The sequence below is a fragment of the Homo sapiens genome, chromosome 8, assembly GCF_000001405.40.
Source record: "Homo sapiens chromosome 8, GRCh38.p14 Primary Assembly".
NCBI lineage: Eukaryota > Metazoa > Chordata > Mammalia > Primates > Hominidae > Homo > Homo sapiens.
Window position 1 is genome coordinate 7,966,750 of NC_000008.11, and position 21,157 is coordinate 7,987,906.

At 44.4% G+C, this 21,157-nt stretch overlaps 2 protein-coding genes, 1 long non-coding RNA gene and 2 pseudogenes across 3 annotated transcripts in view; 2 read left to right on the forward strand and 3 right to left on the reverse strand.

Moving 5' to 3' along the window:
- The window catches only part of LOC124901865 (translation initiation factor IF-2-like), a 451,468-nt pseudogene that overhangs the window by 353,026 nt on the left and 77,285 nt on the right, over window positions 1-21,157 (forward strand).
- The window catches only part of FAM66E (family with sequence similarity 66 member E), a 53,743-nt gene that overhangs the window by 11,737 nt on the left and 20,849 nt on the right, over window positions 1-21,157 (forward strand). The window contains exons 3-6 of the long non-coding RNA NR_027424.1: window positions 18,423-18,484; window positions 18,732-18,799; window positions 19,257-19,324; window positions 19,788-19,852. This is a non-coding gene — a long non-coding RNA (family with sequence similarity 66 member E). The remainder of the gene's footprint in view (window positions 1-18,422; window positions 18,485-18,731; window positions 18,800-19,256; window positions 19,325-19,787; window positions 19,853-21,157) is intronic.
- LOC392187 (ubiquitin carboxyl-terminal hydrolase 17-like protein 2-like) lies at window positions 595-1,795 on the reverse strand (annotated as a pseudogene).
- USP17L8 (ubiquitin specific peptidase 17 like family member 8) lies at window positions 4,912-6,504 on the reverse strand. Its single transcript, NM_001256872.1, has one exon. It carries the CDS (start codon window positions 6,502-6,504, stop codon window positions 4,912-4,914), a length of 1,593 nt encoding a protein of 530 aa, NP_001243801.1.
- Window positions 9,644-11,236, reverse strand: USP17L3 (ubiquitin specific peptidase 17 like family member 3). Its single transcript, NM_001256871.1, has one exon. The coding sequence runs from the start codon at window positions 11,234-11,236 to the stop codon at window positions 9,644-9,646; it is 1,593 nt and encodes a 530-aa protein (NP_001243800.1).

Genomic DNA, 21,157 nt, shown 5'->3' on the forward strand with positions numbered 1-21,157 from the left:
TCTTTAGGCCATGAGGCAAGGCCTAGAGGTGTAAAGAAAACAGCTTCTGACCCAGGGCTCATGAAGTCAGCATAGTGTCAGAGGCGATGGTGGAGTGAGCATAGTATGGTCTTTGGAACCATTCCTTCCCCATATTTCTTCACAGGCCAAGTATGCGCAACCAGGGGGCATCTCGGGCCTGATGAGCAGAGTCCTGGAGAGATAAAGGGGCAATCCTGAGGAAGAGACTTGACAGGGAGGAAGGAGCCACCATTTTCACTGCTGAGAAAACTACTCCTCCCTAGTAAACCATAGGATTTTCCTTGGTCCAGTGAGAGTTTTCCTGAGTGAAGAGAAAAGAGAGAGAAAGGGACTGATGTGTTATCTGTTTCTACCACCTGAAGTGATTCTGAAACTTTGGGGGACAGGAGAATTATCTTCAGAATCATGAGCAATCCAGATGCCATGATTACACATGAGAGACTGAAAGTTCTTATCTCTGGGGGGTAGGCACTAGGCATTGATATTCGTTAAAGCTCATTCACTGATTACAAAGTGAGACAAATAAATACTCTGCTGCAAGATTTATTCATGACATATTATTTCACACACAATTCAATTGTCTTCAGCACAAAGAGCTCTTGGTTCCCTGCCTGCGGACACCCTGTAACTGGGTCTTCCAAATTCATTCTTCTGGATGTAAAAGAGGACATAGGCCTGTTGACTCAAAGGAGAAGTGATACCAGAGGCAGTGACCTCGGCATCATCCATTTTATACCACTGGCCTTCTTGAGCTTTGACACAAGAGAAGTAATGTCCGTTGTGACAACTCCACCCGGTGACGATGAGAACAGCATAGAGGACATAGAAAAGAGGTCCTGTGTTCTGCTGAGACATGTATGGCTGCATGTCAACGCACTCAGGATATTGCACATTCTTGGCAAGTCTGTTGCCTGTGACATCGGAGAATCTCTTCAAGACAAGGATGAGGACCTTGGCAGAAGTGTGTAAAGTTAACGTCTTGGCGGCAGGCGCCTTCTGGAGACAAAGACCACAATGATAGGCATTCTCTCCATTGAGTTCTTCGGGCTTCACCAACTGTTCCTAAGCTTGCTTGACACTCTGAGCTGCCTGGATATCCAGGGCGATATCCAGGTAAGGGTCGAAGGTGTCTGAAATGCCGTGGAAGTAGAGACACTTGATTTGAGATCTCTAGTACCCTCCAAATATTTGGTGGATGAGGGTGGTGTCCTTGCAGTGATGATCTAGCTGCTTGTGCCCGGGAAGGCATGCCTTTCTAATGGCATCCACAGTGAATATGAGAAATTCATGGGCATCTTCCTGCTTGCCTCTATGGAAGTCAGCAGCCAATGCCTGTGAGGGCTGGATGACATGGCCAGGACGGTGGAGGTGCCCGTGTGCTGTGAGCTTCCATAATACAGAGCATGCAGCACTTGGGACGAAGACACATTTGAGAGAGCTCCCAGGACAGCATGTAGTTGGCAAGGGGCAGTGTGTATGTCAGGCACTGCAGGGAAGCCTTCAAGTAGCAGGTATTTCCCATATTCTGGAGACCAGCTCCCACCGCAGCAGGTCTCCTGCTACTCGGAGGAAGCTTCTCCCTGGGAGCAAGCTGTCTTGTCACAGGAGCCAAATCGTCACAGAGGTCGACACGGGTCTCCGATGAGAGTGGTGACTTCTCAGGGAGAGAAGTCCGCTGGATTTCAGCAAAAGCTGCATCTGGCCGAGAAGATGTGAGTTTTGAAAAGTGGTTGAACTGCCACTCACCTCCCAAGTAGAGTGAGTCGTCCTCCATGTCGCCTGGAACAAGGATCACAAGGTTTTTCTGCTGGGACCGCAGGTTGCAGAAAGACGCTATCTCTTCCGAGAGAGTCTTCAAATAACGAGTTCTCTGGCCAAATCAGCCCTTACATAGCTCATCCGCACCAAGAGCGAACACGCCACCCGTACATAAGGTGCGCGATAAACCAATCAAATATCAGCACTCAATTAAGGAATGAGTCACAGGGTGTGTCCCCTTGCATCGCTGGGAATTCAACAGACACAGCCCACATCATGACTTCTAAAACACCTGCATCAAATTACTCCTCAGGATGATAGGCACATATAATATGATTGTAACCGGGTTGGGACAGTGGCCACACAGTTGCCTTATTTTAGGTAAAAGAATGTCAGGGAAGAAATCTTTATCTATGAAACCGTGTGTGTGTCTCTCTCTGTGTGAGTGTGTGTGTGTGTGTGTTTGTGCTGGGATGTACTTCCGAGTATGTGCTTTTGGCAGATACCATCATCCTTTCAGCGATAGAAGGAGAAGTCTGAAGTGCGCTTTCTGACCTGAGAATAGGCAATGAAGTATAGTAATTAGCACAGCATATATTTTTCCTCAATAAAAAAGGAGAGATCCGTGGAATCAATCACACCTCCCAGCGATAACCTTTCCATAATCAGCCTAATGATTCTATATCCGAGTGAAATTACCTGCCAGTGGAGAAAAAGACAAGTCTTTACATTAAATGCTCTTGTGGAAGCTAGATTGCTGAATAATAAAGCATTAAGTCGTAGAAACATGCACTGAAGTTTGAAGAGATACTCAGTGCACAAACTAGACTGTAAAAGACTTTGGGGAAATAATGGAATCACCGAGAGACTAACTGATGACATTCCGAAAATTTATATTTGCCAGAAAAGAGAGATGGTCAAGACATTGTATAGTGAGTGGTTTTGGACGTGCTACGGCAGTTTAAGAAAATATGAAACAAAAAACTTGAGAAATCAGAAGGTATCCCAACTATAACCTTTGTTTTACAAAAGAATTGATGAAAATAAAAACAACGTATCTCACAGCACGCGTGATAATATTTTCATACGTATGTGATAATGGAGCAACATTTGATAGAGATGAATGAAAATTTCTAAATTTGACAAAAGCGAACAACAAAAATTACACCGTAGAAAAGCGTGGGTGACGACAGTGACGCCCTGTCTCAAGAAGTAAACATCCGAGAGATTTAAAAGTGGGGAGTGAAACCAAGGATAGCATAACATTGTTAATACTGGCCCTTGTTTCAGTGGGAAAAGGCAAAAGTAAGCCGTGTGTCTCCTAGATTCTCGCATGAATTGTTCAGGATATGAGATGTTGCCTCCATTTCCAGTTACGCATTGTATGGTGGAATTGCAGTTAGCACATTTGGTGCCAAAATTTTAATGCTGACGAAAATGGACATGTTCCCTGAACTAAGAGGGACATAATTTGGGTGTGTCTCCAGGCTCTCTGGCTTACCAGGATTGAAGATCCAGGCTCTAGGGATTTTCCCAAAATGTCTTAGACAGTAAGCACTGGGGCAGAATTGAGGCCCGGCGCCAAGGTCTCGAGGTGTAAAGAAACAGCCGTGGCCTCAGGGCCCATGAAATTCGGATGATTTTAAGGAGGATGGTGGAATGAGAGGACTGTGATCTTTGGCCCCGTTTCTTCTCCCTTGTCTTTTCATGGGCCAGGTGTGCTCCATCAGAAGGCTTTCTGTGCCTGATGTAAAGTGTCCTGGGTGAAGAAAGGGCACTGCTTAGAGAGGTGCTCCACAGGCAGGAAGGAGCCACAATTTTCAGGAGAATGATCCCCAGAAGCATGAGCAATCCAGATGTCGTGGCTTCACACAAGACGTTGGAGGGTCTTATTCCTGCAGCCGGGACCTGGGCATCGGTGTGCTTTAATGCTCATAACTAATTTTGAGGGGAGCCCAATCGATAACCTGTCTGCAAGTCATGCTCATCACACTGTAGTTTTCACACACGTCACACAGAGACCCTGTTCGTATGCACATTTGGGTGCTTGAGCAGGGTTGTGCCCAAGATTCTGTGGTTCTACGGAGCCCTGAGTTGTGACCTGGACAGCTTTCCTCAGGGGTTGGTCAACTTTGATCACTGCACCTAACAAGAAAGGGACCATGAAATCTAATCAGCAAATACAGAAAAGGAAGGGGCCATTTCCCACAATAATTTCCACAGAAACACCACGTCGGATAAATAAGTCTGATTGCAGGACAGGGACTGTGTTTCAGAGATGCAGCTTTCGCAGCTGGACGAATGACCCGGAATCTCCTCAAATGCCATTTGTAAACACACCAAATGAGGTTTATTTCAGGGCTTTCTGAATGTATTTTAGATGAATACACACACTCCAGTGTTTGATTTCCTTTAGTATCAATGAGAATTAGTTCCAAATGACTTCCGTGCCAGTGGGAAAATTTTCCGTTTCCACGCAATGGAAGTGGACACCGTGAAACAGGTAAGTCGGTCTGTCTGTTTCCCGCATTATGTGGGTTCCAGCAAGAGCACAAGTCCCAGGGCACCTGAGGTCCATTCAGAAACCAAAATAAAATGGGCGAGCCAGGGTAAGAAAGAAGAGCACCGTTCCTATCTTCCAATTGAATTCCAGTATCCACTATTCAAGGTGGCAAGAATGATCCACGGATGTACCACATGAGCAAAATTTCACCTTCTCTTGACGACCAACAACTGACGAAAGAAACAAACCCCAAGAGGAAATAGTAAACCATGTCGCCTGCAATAACCTCACACGCAAACCTACAGGTCAATAGGTCACATTAAGAAATACACACTGAATGTCATCTACCATGAACACAAACACACAGACAGTCCCTCCAGAGGTTCGGAAGACTCACGACCCCAAAACATGATGTTTCCCATATGTGGGCTCATCCTGAGACGCAGCCATCACTATCCAATTGTCCCTGTTGTAGAGACAGAAACTGGGGCTCCTCATTACTTTATGTAGGATTCACGGTGTTCGTGTTTGTGTGGGTGTGTGTGTGTTTCCGTGCGCGCTTGTGGGTGTATTTGTGTTTGTGTGTGTGTGTGTGTACCCCTCAGTGTGGGTCGGTACTTCCACTCTGATCACTGGCACACAAGCAGAGATCTCTTGCTGTGTTTGTTCTTCCCTTTGGATCTCCTGGTCCTCCCTTGCAGAGAAGCGAGTGTGCCAGTGTTCATGGACTCCTGATCTGTCGAGTTCATCGAAGAGAGGTTTAGCAGGGAGCTTTGCTGTTCAGGATGGTGGTTTTTCATCCCACACTTGTATTTTGATTGATGAATCACAAGTACGTTGGGAGGCAGGGTACCTTCAACTTTTCTGACGTTGAACTCAGGCTTCATTTTGTTTTGCTCTTGGGGGAATTTCCAGTGGTCTAAGGTGCTTTCCTCAGTGGCTCTTTCCACCAAGTGCTCGTCCAACTCGGGTACCTGGAGGCAAGGGTGGTCTCTCTTGAGCTCTCCTTGCGTTGCTGGCCTGTCTGTGTCTTCAGCGCCAAGGGCTCTTGGTTCCCTGCCTCTTGACACACTCTCACTGTGTCTTTCCCATTCACTCTTCTGGATGTAAAAGAGGACATAGGCCTGTTGACTCAGGACAGAAGTGATGCTACAGGCAGTGACCTCGGCATCATCCATTTTATACCACTGGCCTTCTTGAGCTTTGACATAAGAGAAGTAATATCCGTTGTGACAACTCCACCCAGCGTGGACCAGCACAGCATAGAGGACATAGACAAGAGGTCCTGTGTTCTGCTGAGACATGTATGGCTGCATGTCAAGGCACTCAGGATATTGCACATTCTTGGCAAGTTTGTTGCCTGTGACATCGCAGAATCTCTTCAAGACAAGGATGAGGACCTTGGCAGAAGTGTGTAAAGTTAACGTGTTGGAGGCCGGCGCCCTCTGGAGACAAAGACCGCAAGGATAGGCATTCTCTCCATTGAGTTCTTCGGGCTTCACCAACTGTTCCAAAGCTTGCTTGACACTCTGAGCTGCCTGGATATCCAGGGCGATGTCCAGGTAAGGGTCAAAAGTGTCTGAAATCCCGTGGCAGTGGAGACACTTGATTTGAGATCTCCAGCAGCCTCCAAATATTTGGTGGATGAGGGTGGTGTCCTTAGAGTGATGATCTACCTGCTTGTGGCCGGGAAGGCATGCCTTTTTCATGGCATCCACAGTGAACATGAGAAATTCATGGGCATCTTCCTGCTTGCCTCTATGGAAGCCAGCAGCCAATGCCTGTGAGGGCTGGATGACATGGCCAGGACTGTGGAGGGCCCATGTGATGTGAGCTTGCATAGTACAGAGCATGCAGCACTTGGGACGCTGACATGTTTGAGAGTGCTCCCGGGACAGCATGTAGTTGGCAAGGGGCGGTGTGTATGTCAGGCACTGCAGGGAAGCATTCAAGTAGCAGGTATTTCCCATATTCTGGAGACCAGCCCCCACAGCAGCAGGTCTCCTGCTACTCAGAGGAAGCTTCTCCCTGGGAGCAAGCTGTCTTGCCACAGGAGCCAAATCATCACAGAGGTCGACACGGGTCTCAGATGAGAGTGGTGACTTCTCAGGGAGAGAAGTCCGCTGGATTTCAGCAAAAGCTGCATCTGGCCGAGGAGATGTGAGTTTTGAAAAGTGGTTGAACTGCCACTCACCTCCCAAGTAGAGTGAGTCGTCCTCCATGTCGCCCGCAACAAGGATCACAAGGTTTTTCTGCTGGGACCGCAGGTTGCAGCAAGACGCTATCTCTTCCGAGAGAGTCTTCAAATGACGAGCTCTCTGGCCGCATCAGCCCTTATATAACTCACCCCCACCAACCGTGAACACCCCACCCACCCATCAGGTGCGCGATAAACCAATCAAATATCAGCACTCAATTAAGGAATGAGTCACAGGGTGTGTCCCCTTGCATCGCTGGGAATTCAACAGACACAGCCCACATCATGACTTCTAGAACCTGAATCAAATTACTCCTCAGGGTGATAGGCACATATAATATGAGTGTAACCGGGTTGGGACAGTGGCCACACAGTTGCCTTATTTTAGGTAAAAGAATGTCAGGGAAGAAATCTTTACCTATGAAACCGTGTGTGTGTCTGTGTGTGTGTGTGTGTGTGTGTGTGTGTGTGTGTGTGTGCGCTTGTGCTGGGATGAACTTCCAAGTATGTACTTTTGGCAGCTATCATCATCCTCTCAGCGATGGAAGCACAAGAAGTCTGAAGTGCACTTTCTGACCTGAGAATAGTCAATGAAGTATAGTATTTAGCACAGCGTATATTTTTCCTTAATAATAAAGGAGAGATCCGTGGAATCCAACAGACCTTCCAGCGATGACCTTTCCACGTTCAGACTATTGATTCTCTATCCGAGTGAAATTACCGGCCAGTGGAGAACAAGACAGGTCTTTGCATGAAATGCTCTTGTGGAAGCTAGGCTGCCAAATACTAAAGCATCAAATGGTAGAAACATGCACTGAAGTTTGAAGAGATACTCAGTGCACAAAGTAGACTGTGAAAGACTTTGGGGAAATCATGCAATCACCGAGAGACTAATTGATGGCATTCCCCAAATTTATGTGTACCAGAAAAGAGAGATGGTCCTGACATTGTATAGTGAGTGGTTTCGGACGTGCGGCGGCAGTTTAAGAAAACATGAAACAAAAACCTTGAGAAATCCAAAGGTATCCCAACTATAAGCTTTTGTTTATTAAAGAACTGATGAAAATCAAAACAACGTATCTCACAGCATGGGTGATACTATTTCCACACGTATGTGATAATGGCTCAACATTTCATAGAGATGAAATAAAAAGTTCTAATTTTGACAAAAGAAAACAAGGAAAATTATACCGTAGAAAAGCCCGGGTGACGGGAATGAGGCCCTGTCTCAAGAAGAAAACATCGGAGACGTTTAAAAGCAGGGAGTGAAACAGAAGATAGCATAACCTTTTTACTGCTGGCCCTTGTTTCACAGGGAAAAGGCAAAAATAAGCCGTGTGTCTCCTGGATTCTCGCATCGATTGTTCATGATCTGAGATGTTCCCTCCATTTCCAGTTATGCATTGTATGGTGGAATTGCAGTTAGCACATTTGGTGCAAAAATTGTAATGCTGACGAAAGTGGACATGTTCCCTGAACTAAGAGGGACAGCATTTGGGTGTGTCTTCAGGCTCTCTGGCTTACCAGGAATGAAGATCCTGGCTCTAGGGATTTTCCCAAAATGTCTTAGACAGTAAGGAACAGGGCAGAATTGAGGCCCGGCGCCAAGGCCTCTAGTTTTAAAGAAACAGCCCTGGCTTCAGGGCCCATGAAATTCGGATGATTTTAAGGAGGATGATGGAATGAGAGGACTGTGACCTTTGGCCCCGTTTCTTTCCCTTGTCTTTTCATGGGCCAGGTGTGGTCCATCAGAAGGCTTCGTGCGCCTGATGTAAAGTGTCCTGGGGGAAGAAAGGAGCACTGCTTAGAAAGATGCTCCACAGGGAGAAAGAAGCCACCATTTTCAGGAGAATGATCCCCAGAAGCATGAGCAACGCAGATGCCGTGGCTTCACACAAGACGTCGGAGGGTCTTATTCCTGCAGCCGGGACCTGGGCATCGGTGTGCTTTCATGTTCCTAACTGATTTTGAGGGGAGCCCAATCGATAACCTGTCTGCGAGTCATGCTCATCACACTGTAGTTTTCACACACGTCACACGGAGACCCTGTTCGTATGCACATTTGGGTGCTTGAGCAGGGTTGCGTCCAAGATTCTGTGGTTCTATGGAGCCCTGAGTGGTGCCCTGGGCAGCTTTCCTCTGGGGTTGGTCAACTTTGATCACTGCACCTAACGAGAAAGGGACCATGAAATCTAATCAGCAAATACAGACAAGGAAGGGGCCATTTCCCACAATCATTTCCACGGAAACACCACGTCGGATACGTAAGTCTGATTGAAGGACAGGGACTGTGCTTCAGAGATGCAGCTTTCGCAGCTGGACGAATGACCCGGAATCTCCCCAAATGCCATTTGTAAGCACACCAAATGAGATTTTTTTTCAGGGCTTTCTGAATTTATTTCAGTTGAATACACACACTCCTGTGTTTGATTTTCTTTATTATCAATAGGACTTAGTTCCAAATGACTGACACGCCAGTGGGAAAATTTTCCGTTTCGACTCATTGGAAGTGGACCCCGTGAAACAGGCAAGTCGGTCTGTCTGTTTCCGGCGTTATGTGGGTTCCAGCAAGAGCACAAGTCCCAGGGCGCCTGAGGTCCCTTCAGAAACCAATGTAAAAACGGCGAGCCAGGGTAAGAAAGAAGAGCACCGTTCCTATCTTCTAAATGCATTCCAGTTTCCACTATTCAAGGTGGTGAGAATGATCCACGGATGTGCCACATGAGCAAAATTTCACCTTCCCGTGCCGCCCAACAACTGACGAATGAAACATACCCCAAGAGAAAATAGGAAACCGAGTCCCCTGCAATAACCTCACACGCAAACCTACACGTCAGTAGGTCATATTCAGAAATACACAGTGAATGTCATCTACCATGAACACAAACACACAGACAATCCCTCCAGAGGTTCGGAAGACTCACGACCCCAAAACTTGATGTTTCCCATGTGTGGGCTCATCCTGAGATGCAGCCATCACTATCCAGTTGTCCCTGTTGTAGAGACAGAAACTTGGACTCCTCATTACTTTATGTAGGATTGACGGTGTTCGGGTTTGTTTGGGGGTGTGTGTGTGTGTGTTTGCGTGCGTGCTTGTGGGTGTATTTGTGTGTGTGTGTGTGTGTGCGTGCACCCCTACGTGTGGGTCGACACTTCCACTGAGATCACTGGCACACAAGCAGAGCCCTCTTGCTGTGTTTGTTCTTCCCTTTGGCTCTCCTGGTCCTCCCTTGCAGAGAAGCGAGTGTGCCAGTGTTCATGGACTCCTGATCTGTCCGGGTCGTCGAAGAGAGGTTTAGCAGGGAGCTTTGCTGTTCAGGATGATGGTTTTTCATCCCACACTTGTATTTTGATTGATGAATCACAAGTGCGTTGGGAGGCAGGGTACCTTCGACTTTTCCGACGTTGAACTCAGGCTTCGTTTTGTTTTGCTCTTGGAGGAATTTCCAGTGGTCTAAGGTGCTTTCCTGAGTGGCTCTTTCCACCAAGTGCTCGTCCAACTCGGGTGCCTGGAGGCAGGGGTGGTCTCTCTTGAGCTCTCCTTGCTTTGCTCGCCTGTCTGTGTCTTCAGCGCCGAGGGCTCTTGGTTCCCTGCCTCTTGACACACTCTCACTGTGTCTTTCCCATTCACTCTTCTGGATGTAAAAGAGGACATAGGCCTGTTGACTCAGGACAGAAGTGATGCTACAGACAGTGACCTCGGCATCATCCATTTTATACCACTGGCCTTCTTGAGCTTTGACATAAGAGAAGTAATGTCCGTCGTGACAACTCCACCCAGCGTGGACCAGCACAGCATAGAGGACATAGACAAGAGGTCCTGTGTTCTGCTGAGACATGTATGGCTGCATGTCAAGGCACTCAGGATATTGCACATTCTTGGCAAGTTTGTTGCCTGCGACATCGGAGAATCTCTTCAAGACAAGGATGAGGACCTTGGCAGAAGTGTGTAAAGTTAACGTGTTGGAGGCCGGCGCCCTCTGGAGACAAAGACCGCAATGATAGGCATTCTCTCCATTGAGTTCTTCGGGCTTCACCAACTGTTCCAAAGCTTGCTTGACACTCTGAGCTGCCTGGATATCCAGGGCGATGTCCAGGTAAGGGTCAAAAGTGTCTGAAATCCCGTGGCAGTGGAGACACTTGATTTGAGATCTCCAGCAGCCTCCAAATATTTGGTGGATGAGGGTGGTGTCCTTAGAGTGATGATCTACCTGCTTGTGGCCGGGAAGGCATGCCTTTTTCATGGCATCCACAGTGAACATGAGAAATTCATGGACATCTTCCTGCTTGCCTCTATGGAAGCCAGAAGCCAATGCCTGTGAGGGCTGGATGACATGGCCAGGACTGTGGAGGGCCCATGTGATGTGAGCTTGCATAGTACAGAGCATGCAGCACTTGGGACGCTGACATGTTTGAGAGTGCTCCCGGGACAGCATGTAGTTGGCAAGGGGCAGTGTGTATGTCAGGCACTGCAGGGAAGCGTTCTCGTAGCAGGTATTTCCCATATTCTGGAGCCCAGCCCCCACCGCAGCAGGTCTCCTGCTACTCAGAGGAAGCTTCTCCCTGGGAGCGAGCTGTCTTGCCACAGGAGCCAAATCATCACAGAGGTCGACACGGGTCTCAGATGAGAGTGGTGACTTCTCAGGGAGAGAAGTCCGCTGGATTTCAGCAAAAGCTGCATCTGGCCGAGAAGATGTGAGTTTTGAAAAGTGGTTGAACTGCCACTCACCTCCCAAGTAGAGTGAGTCATCCCCCATGTCGCCCGCAACAAGGATCACAAGGTTTTTCTGCTGGGACCGCAGGTTGCAGCAAGACGCTATCTCTTCCGAGAGAGTCTTCAAATGACGAGCTCTCTGGCCGCATCATCCCTTATAGAACTCACCCCCACCAGCCGCTAACACCCCACCCACCCATCAGGTGCGCGATAAAACAATCAAATATCAGCACTCAATTAAGGAATGAGTCACAGGGTGTGTCCCCTTGCATCGCTGGGAATTCAACAGACACAGCCCACATCATGACTTCTAGAACACCTGAATCAAATTACTCCTCAGGGTGATAGGCACATATAATATGAGTGTAACCGGGTTTGGGCAGTGGCCACACAGTTGCCTTATTTTAGGTAAAAGAATGTCAGGGAAGAAATCTTCACCTATGAAACCCTGTGTGTGTCTGTGTGTGTGTGTGTGTGTGTGTGTGTGTGTGTGTGTGTGTATGTGTGTGTGTGCTCGTGCTGGGATGAACTTCCAAGTATGTACTTTTGGCAGCTATCATCATCCTCTCAGCGACAGAAGGACAAGAAATCGGAAGTGTGCTTTCTGACCTGAGATTAGTCAATGAAGTATGGTATTTAGCACAGCGTATTTTTTTCTTTAATAAGAAAGGAGAGATCCGTGGAATGAAACAGAGCTTCCAGCGATAACCTTTCTACGTTCAGCCTATTGATTCTCTGTGCGAATGAAATTACCTTCCAGTGGAGAACAAGAGAACTCTTTGCCTGACATGCTCTTGTGGAAGCTAGGTTGCCAAATAATAAAGCATCAAATGGTAGAAATATGCACTGAAGTTTGAAGAGATACTCATTGCACAAAGTAGACTGTGAAAGACTTTGGGGAAATCATGCAATCACCGAGAGACTAATTGATGACATTCCCCAAATTTATGTGTGCCAGAAAAGAGAGATGGTCCTGACATTGTATAGTGAGTGGTTTCGGACGTGCGGCGGCAGTTTAAGAAAACATGAAACAAAAACCTTGAGAAATCAGAAGGTATCCCAACTATAACCTTTTGTTTATTAAAGAATTGACCAAAATAAAAACAACTTATCACACAGCATTGGTGATACTATTTCCATACGTATGTGATAATGGATCAACATTTCATAGATATGAAATAAAATGTTCTAATTTTGACAAAAGCAAACAAGGAAAATTATACCTTAGAAAAGCCCAGGTGACAGTAGTGAGGCCCTTTCTCAAGAAGAATACATCGGAGACGTTTAAAAGCAGGCAGTGAAATAGAAGACAGCATAAAGTTTTTAATACTTGCCCTTGTTTCACAGGGAAAAGGCAAAAATAAGCCGTGTATCTCCTGGATTCTCTCATCGATTGTTCATGATCTGAGATGTTCCCTCCATTTCCAGTTATGCATTGTATGGTGGAATTGCAGTTAGCACATTTGGTGCAAAAATTGTAATGCTGACGAAAGTAGACCTGTTCCCTGAACTAAGAGGGACAGAATTTGGGTGTGTCTTTCGGCTCTCTGGCTTACCAGGAATGAAGGTCCTGGCTCTAGTGATTTTCCCAAAATGTCTTAGACAGTAAGGAACAGGGCAGAATTGAGGCCCGGCGCCAAGGCCTCTAGGTGTAAAGAAACAGCCCTGTCTTCAGGGCTCATGAAATTAGGATGATTTTAAGGATGATGATGTAATGAGAGGACTGTGACCTTTGGCCCTTTTTCTTTCCCTTGTCTTTTCATGGGCCAGGTGTGCTCCATCAGAAGGCTTCCTGCACCTCATGTAAAGTGTCCTGGGGGAAGAAAGGGCACTGCTTAGAAAGATGCTCCACAGGGAGAAAGGAGCCACCATTTTCTGGAGAATGATCCCCAGAATCATGAGCAAGCCAGATGCGGTGGCTTCACACAGGTTGTTGGATGGTCTTATCTCTTTAAGCGGGACCTAGGAATTGGTTTTCTTTAATGCTCACAACTGATTTGAGGTGAGCCGAATTGATATTCTGTCTTCCTGTCATGCTCATTGCACTTTAGTTTCCACACATGTCACACAGAAACACGCTGAATAAGCACATTTTTGTTCTTGAGCAATATTTCACCCAAGATTCTGTGGTTCTACCGTGCCCTGAGTTCTGTCCTGGATATCTCTACTCTTGGGTAGGTCAACTTTGATCTCTGTACCTAATGAGAAATGGACTATGAAATCTAATCAGCAAATATACAAAAATAAGGGGCCATTCTCCACAATTGTTTCTCTCCGGTAGGTCGTGTTTGGTAACTGTATCTAACAAGAAATGAATATTTGACGATTCCTAATCAAAAAATTTCTTGTTTTTTTGCCATTTTAGTTAATTCTTTTAACGTTTAAATAGAGTTTAAAACCCGAAATTTGGCATGAAATCTAATCGTCAAATACACAAAAGGAAGGGGCCATTCTTCAAAATCTTTTCCTCTGAAAGACCACCTCTGATAAACAAGTCTCGTTTCATTACAGGGATCCTGCTTCCAAGATGCAACTTTCACAGCTTCATGATTGACCCAGAATCTCCTCCAATGCCATTTTTTTACCCGCAAAATGAGATTTATTTCAGGGCTTCCGGATTTTATTTTAGCTGAATACATCCACTCTCCTGTTTCAATTTCTTTCAAACGCCTTTAAATAATTATCTTGCTGCATCAGCCCTTATTTAACTACTGTCCACCCACCGAGACCATTACATTTATCCATCAATTACCCTATTTACTAATGAAATATCAGGATTCAATTAGGTTTTTTGTCTTAGGTTGTATCCTCTTGCATTCCTCAGAGAATTTAATGGACACTGCTTACATTGTGACTATGGAAGGGTTGAAGCAGATTTACTTGTCAGTATTATGAGCAAATATGTTAGGAGTGGAACCGGGTTAGGATAGTAGCTAAACATTTGCCTTATTTCATGTATAACAATGCTATTTAACAATTGTGTACATATTAAACAGTTTGTGTGTATGAGTGTATTTGTGTGTTTGTTTCTGGATGTGTGTGTATGCCTTGAGAAGTACTTCCAAGCATGTGCATCTGTGAGATAAGATCATTCTTTCAGTGACTAAATGCCAAGAAGTTATAACTACATTTTCTGACTTGAGAATTTGCAACAATGTGAGGTAATTAACACAGCATATTTTTTGTCTTAATTAAGATGAAGTGATCAATGGAGTCAAATAGACATTCCAGAGATAACCTTCCCATTTTTGGCCAGTTGATTCCATGTCATGTTGTAATGATCTGGCATTGGGGAGAAGACAAGTCTTTGCGTGAAATGTTCTTGTGGAAGCAAGATATGCAAATAATAAGGCATCAAATAGGACTATTCCCTTCAATAGTGAATGTCGAAACCTTCACTTAAGTTTGATGAAATTCTCAATGCCCAAAATACATTGTGAAACACTTTCAAGAAAACATGCTATAAACCAGAGACTATTTGATGACATACACCGAAGTTATGACTGCAAGAAAAGAGAAATATTCATGGCATTTTTAATCCAAGGGTTTCTTGTATATGACAGCATTTTTAAAAAAGTCAAAATCAGAAAAGATTCACAAATTGGAAGATATCTAAGCTAAATCTTTTGTTTCTTAAAGGAATGATGAAAATAATTGCAATGTAACACACGGCCTGTGTGATAATGTTTTAATACATATCTAAAAATGCCTTAAAATTCAATAGAAATAAAATAACAACTTCTAAAACTTGACAAAAGGAAACAACAAAAATTACACACTGGAAAATCCTGGCTGACTGGAGTGACATCCTGTCTCAAGAAGGAACAGACAAACACACAAACAAGCAAAGGATTCTAAAAGCAGGGAATCAAACAGATACTTGTACACTATTCTTCCTATTAGCAATCTTCATAGTAGGAAAAGGCAAAAACAACCCAAATGTGTGGCGAATTACTTCATCAGTTTTTTAGGATCTGAAATACTGCCTCAATTTTCAGTTACTCATTGTGGGGAGAACCTGCAGTTACCACATTTGTTCCAAAATTTTATGGTGATGAAGGTAAACCTGTCCGGCATTCTCAGAGGGACAGAATTCTGGTGTTTCTCCAGGTTCCTTGGCTTATCAGGAATGAAGATCCAAGCTGTATAGACGTTTTTCAAAAGTATGTACATACGTATGTATGTATGCATGTATGTATGTATGTATGTATTTCCTCTTTTTAAATTTAAAAAATACAGGATACATGCGCAGAACGAGCAGATTTGTTATATAGGTATCCTTTGCTATGGTGGTTCGTTGCACCTATTGACTTATCCTGTAAGTTTCCTTCCCTCACCCCCAGCCCCCAACGGGCTGTGTTGTGTGTTGTTCCTATCCAGTCTAGCACTGAAGGGCATTTGGGTTGGTTTCATGTCTTTCCTATTGTATATAGTGTTGCAGTAAACATACGTGTGCATGTGTCTTTATAGTGGAATGATTTATATTCCTTTGGGTACATAGCCAGTAATGGGATTGCTGGGTCAAATGGTATTTCTGGTTCTAGATCCTTGAGGAATAGCCATACTGTCTTCCACAATGGTTGAACTAATTTACAGTTTCACCAACAGTGTAAAAACCTTCCTCTTTCTTCTCAGCCTCACCAGCATCTATTGTTTCTTAATTTTTTAATAATCGCCATTCTGACGGGTGTGAGATGGTATCTCACTGTAGTTTTGATTTTCATTTCTCTGATGATCAGTGTTGTTGAGCTTTTTAAAAATATATTTGTTGGTTGCATAAATGTCTTCTTTTGATAAGTTTCTGTTCATATCTTTTGCTCACTTTTGATGGGGTTGTTTGTTTTTTTGCTTGTAAATATGTTTAAGTTCCTTGTCAACTTTGGTTATTAGACCTTTGTCAGATGGGCAGATTGCAACAATTTTCTCCCATTCTGTAGGTTGCTTTTTCATGCTGATGATAGTTTCTTTGCTGTGCAGAAGGTCTTTAGTTTAATTAGATCCAATTTGTCAATTTTGGCTTTTGTTGCAATTGCTTTTGGCATTTTTGTCATGAAGTCTTTGCCCATGCCTATGTCCTGAATGGTATTGCTTAAGTTTTCTTCTAGGGTTTTTATGGTTTTGGATTTTACATTTAAGTCTTTAATCCATCTTGAGTTAATTTTTGTATAAGATGTAAGGAAGGGGTCCAGTTTTGGTTTTCTGCCTATGGCAAGCCAGTTTTCCCAGCAGCATTTACTGAATAGGAGATCCTTTCTCCCTTGCCTGTTTTTGTCAGGTTTGTCAAAGATCAGATGGTCGTAGATGTGTGGTGTTACTTCTGAGGGCTTTGTTCTGCTCCATTGGTCTATATGTCTGTTTTGGCAGCAGTAGCATGCTGTTTTGGTTACTGTAGCCTTCTAGTGTGGTTTGAAGTTAGGTAGCGTCATGCCTCCAGCTTTGTTGTTTTTGCTTACAATTGTCTTGGGTATACGGGGTATTCTTTGATTTCATATGAAATTTAAAATAGTTCTTTCTAATTCTGTGAAAAATGTCAATGGTAGCTTGATGGGTACAGCATTGAATCTATAAATTAGTTTGGGCAGTATGGCCATTTTCACAATATTGATTCTTCCTATTCATGAGGATGAAATGTTTTTCCATTCGTTTGTGTCCTCTCTTATTTCCTTGAGCAGTGGTTTGCAGTTGTCCTTGAAGAGGTCCTTCACATCCCTTGTACTCCTAGCTGTATCCCTAGGTATTTTATTCTCTTTGTAGCAATTGTGAATGGGAGTTCATTCTTGATCTGGCTCTCTGCTTGACTATTGTTGATGTAAAGGAATGCTTGTGATTTTTGCACAATGATTTAATATCTTGAGAACTTGGTGAACTTGCTTACCAGTTCAAGAAGTTTTTGAATTGAGATGATGGGGTTTTCTAAATATAAAGTCATGTCATCTGCAAACAGAGACAACTTCACTTACTCTCTTCCTATTTGAATACCCTTTATTTCCTTCTCTTGCCTGATAGCCCTGGTGAGAACTTCCAATACTATGTTGAATAGAAGAGGTTACAGAGGACATCCTTGTCTTGTACCAGTTTTCAAAGGGAATGTTTCCAGCTTTTGCCTATTCAATATGATGTGGGCTGTGGGTTTGTTATAAACAGCTCTTATTATTTTGCAATATGTTCCATCAGTACCTAGTCTATTGAGAGTTTTTAACATGAAGGGATGGTGAATTTTATCAAAGGCATTTTTGCATCTATTGAAATAATTGTCTGGTTTTTGTCTTTGGTTCTGTTTATGTGATCAATTACATTTATTCATTTGTGTATGTTGAACCAGCATTTCATCCCAAAGATGCAGCCGACTTGATTGTGGTGGATAAGCTTTTTGATGTGCTGCTGGATTCTGTTTGCTAGTATTTTATTAAGAATTTTTGCATTAATGTTCATCAGGGATATTGGCCTGGATTGAGCAGGTGTGTGTGTGTGTGTGTTTCTACCTTGGTTTGCCAGTAGGTTGATGTGTGAGTGTGTGTGACTTTGTGTGTGTGTGGCGGGGGGGGGGGGCGGTGAATGTGCGATAGAGAGCCAAACTAGAGCAGAGGAAGTTCCCTGGCCTGCCATGACATTAAATGTTCTGAATTCAAGATACCAAGAGAGGCATGAGACCCACAGTTGAAACTTCATGATGTGGCCAGGTTTCAGGGGTTTCTGGGAGCTGCCAGTGGGCATATCTCAGGCTTGCTCCCACTGACAATCCATGTCTTCTCTCTAAATGGGAGATGGCTCTGTATGGAGAACAGGCAACAGAGAGCATGATGTAAGGGTTCTACCTCATACTCACTAGGAAAGAAAACAGTTTTCATCATCTCTCACTCCATTCCCATTGTAAATCTATAGACACAGGGGACAGTTACCTGAAATATTAGCATAGCTAAAGTCCTCAGACCAAATTAGATGTCCTACCTTCTCATGTGGATCAGATCCTAAAAAAACAACTGCTTCCTGTGGTCATTATCTTTTATCCCAGGCCATTTCCAATCCAGCGGAAGACCTTCTAGAAGAGGTGATGGGTGGGAGAGTGCTGGCATACTATGTGAAGCTACTATTTGGAGTTGGACACGAGTGCATGTGACCTTGTGCCACAGCGGGAATGTGAGCTGGATGACAAATGGAGATTTGGACTTGTGATAATTGGCCTCTGTGTCATTGTGTGGAAGACTGACTGGTCCCTTTATTTCCTGTAGCTTGACTACCACACAAATGAATCCACTCAAATGTTGGCAAGTGGAGCAGAGTCCCAGGACAGGTAAGGCACTTTGCCTGCTTTTTCTTAAGATCAATCCCCATGCCTAAAAATTAAAGTCACATCCCACACGATCATTAAAGTAGAGAGTGCATTCTGCAGGATGAGTGAAAAGGCATTTATGATTCTTGGGGGCAGATGTTCTACAGTAGCCTGTGCTAGTTCATGTCTTTCTGCAGATCACATTCTTAACCTCTAGAGAGCCTGGCAGGACCAGAGCCTTACCTTTCCCAGTCTGCAATCTCTACAGGTACAGAAACACCCCCAGTTCAAGGATCTTCACACCTGGATTTAGGCCTACTCCTGCAACTACCCCAGGTAAGTTTCCTTGTTCTTCAATGGCAAAGTTTGGACAATGCTGTTCAAACTCCAGGCAACAAGCAACATCTAGGAAATGTGCTTTTAGGTAGGGTCAGCATAATATCCCACCCTGGGAGACAGTTTTATTTTATAGTTGTAGAGGGTGATGCTGCTGGCGGCTCCCTCCCAATCAGCACCATTTGCAGCCTCTTTTGAAGATAGAGAACTGAGGGCTGTCCTTCGAATGGAGCAGTGTGATTCCAAAAAAAGAGATGCTCCTTGTGGTCCTGGGACCAGGGATAGGACTCCAGTTGAGCCTGGTGGAATAGGTCCTCGTCCTAACCCAATGGAGAGCCATGCAGCTGAGCTTGGGCGATGTGGTCCACGTGGTTGTTTCTGACTGTGTCCTGTGGTTGCTGGATGGCTTGCAGTTCCCTATGCAGATCCAATGCATCTTTTGCTTTTTTGCTTCTAGAACCTGGAATTTATATGTTCAACATGGAGCCATCCCAGCCATGACAACAGAGAATGTACCACTCTCACGTGAGTAAGAGGGGTAGGCAGTGCTCCTGTATCACCAGCCCTTAATGAGACCCTGAGGAAACCACATCATGGAGATCAGCCCTTCTCTCCTGTAAGGAACTCATCCTATGAAAGAGCAATTAGTGCCTGCAAGAGCTGTCTCTGGGACAGCGGTTCATGTCTATATCTGCAGGGTAACCCTCATAGTCATATGCAGTCATATCCATAGTCATATCGGGAGTCAGACTCCAGTTTGACTGAGTGAATGGAGAAACTAAACATTTATTACTGAATAATAACATTAATAAACCATCTTAATGATAATAATAATAAACATATTGATGAGTATTAACAGGAATGATGATGATTATTATGATACTAATATCCATAATTAATAATTTTAATATTGATAATAGTACTAACCCTGTGGACTTGGGACCTAAAGAGCAGTTTCCCCTTACAATTATCCCATATTTGGCCACAGGGGGTAATATCGAGTTCCAGAAGGCAAGGATTAACATTCAGAAAAATAGGAAAAACAACCTGCAGGTAAGCATGTGCACACATGGGGACTCTATGGATAAATACTAAAGTGACTCTTGTTCTGGATCTCCATGTTAACAAACATGCACCAGCTTTCAGGAGGTAGGACAGCTGGCTGATGGGGCAAGGCTTCTTGAGGACATGGCAGGAGTCAGAAATCACACATGCTGCCCAGCAGCAGAGCTCATGACAAGCAGTAAACCCCAGCGAAAGGACCTGGCTGCCCTTTCTGCCATCTGCTCTCCCATGACCTCTCTTGACTGGTACATCTAGGCACTGGAGTAACCTTCACTGGCTATAGGAGGGCATAATCCTCAGTATTCTCCCACCTGCAAGAAAGACAAAAATTAATTGAATACCATGGCTTCTGGGTATTCTTAGTGGGCTTGACATATTTTGCCTTTGCTTTAACAGGCCAGTTATCCAGGCAGTGACTTTCAGTGCAGCTACAGTCACCTCTGGAAACCTGCGGAGACTTTAAAAATTTCCAGAAGGTCAGGAATTTTTGGAGACCTTTCTCATGGCTACATTGCCTGCAAAGGTGAATCAATAAGCTTCTGAACTGACTTAGAAAATGTTGCAGAGACTCTTGTGAACAGATAGACCCTCTCCTGCCACTCAGATAGACGTATCAGGGTCACACACACCTGATTTAACAACATGTCATTATCTCAGGTGGGCAACAGACAGCAATTTAGGACCTATCCCAGTGTGGATGAAAGACATTGAGTTGGCTTAGAAAAATGTTACATAGACTAGATGGGGCAAGAAAGCCCATTCTGGGTCTCAAAAGCCTGCACATAGAGTTGCTGACACATAAAGGGTATGTATAAATTTTTTCTTAGCCCATGAGATCAGGATGTACTTCATCAGTATACCATGCTGGTATAAAGAGATTCTTGCCTCCAAAGGGACTCAGAATATTTCAGGGAACCTGTATTAGTCCATTTTTACACTGTTGTAAAGACACTACCCCACACTGGGTAATTTACAAAGGGAAGGTGTTTAATTAATTCACAGTTCTGCATCGCTGGGGAGGCCTCAGGAAACTTACAGTCATGGTGGAAGGCAAGACAGAAGCAGGCACCTTTTTTCACAAGGTGGCAGGAGAGAGAAGTGAGTGCACAGAAAAAAAAAACCTCCTACTTTTAAAACCATCAGATCTCCTAAGAATTCACTCACTATCATGAGTATAGCATGAAGTAAACTTCTTTGACACATGGCGATTACAAGTCCCTCTGTCGATGTGTGGGGATAATAATTTGAGATGAGGTTTGGGTGGGGACACAGAGCCAAACCATATTATTCTGC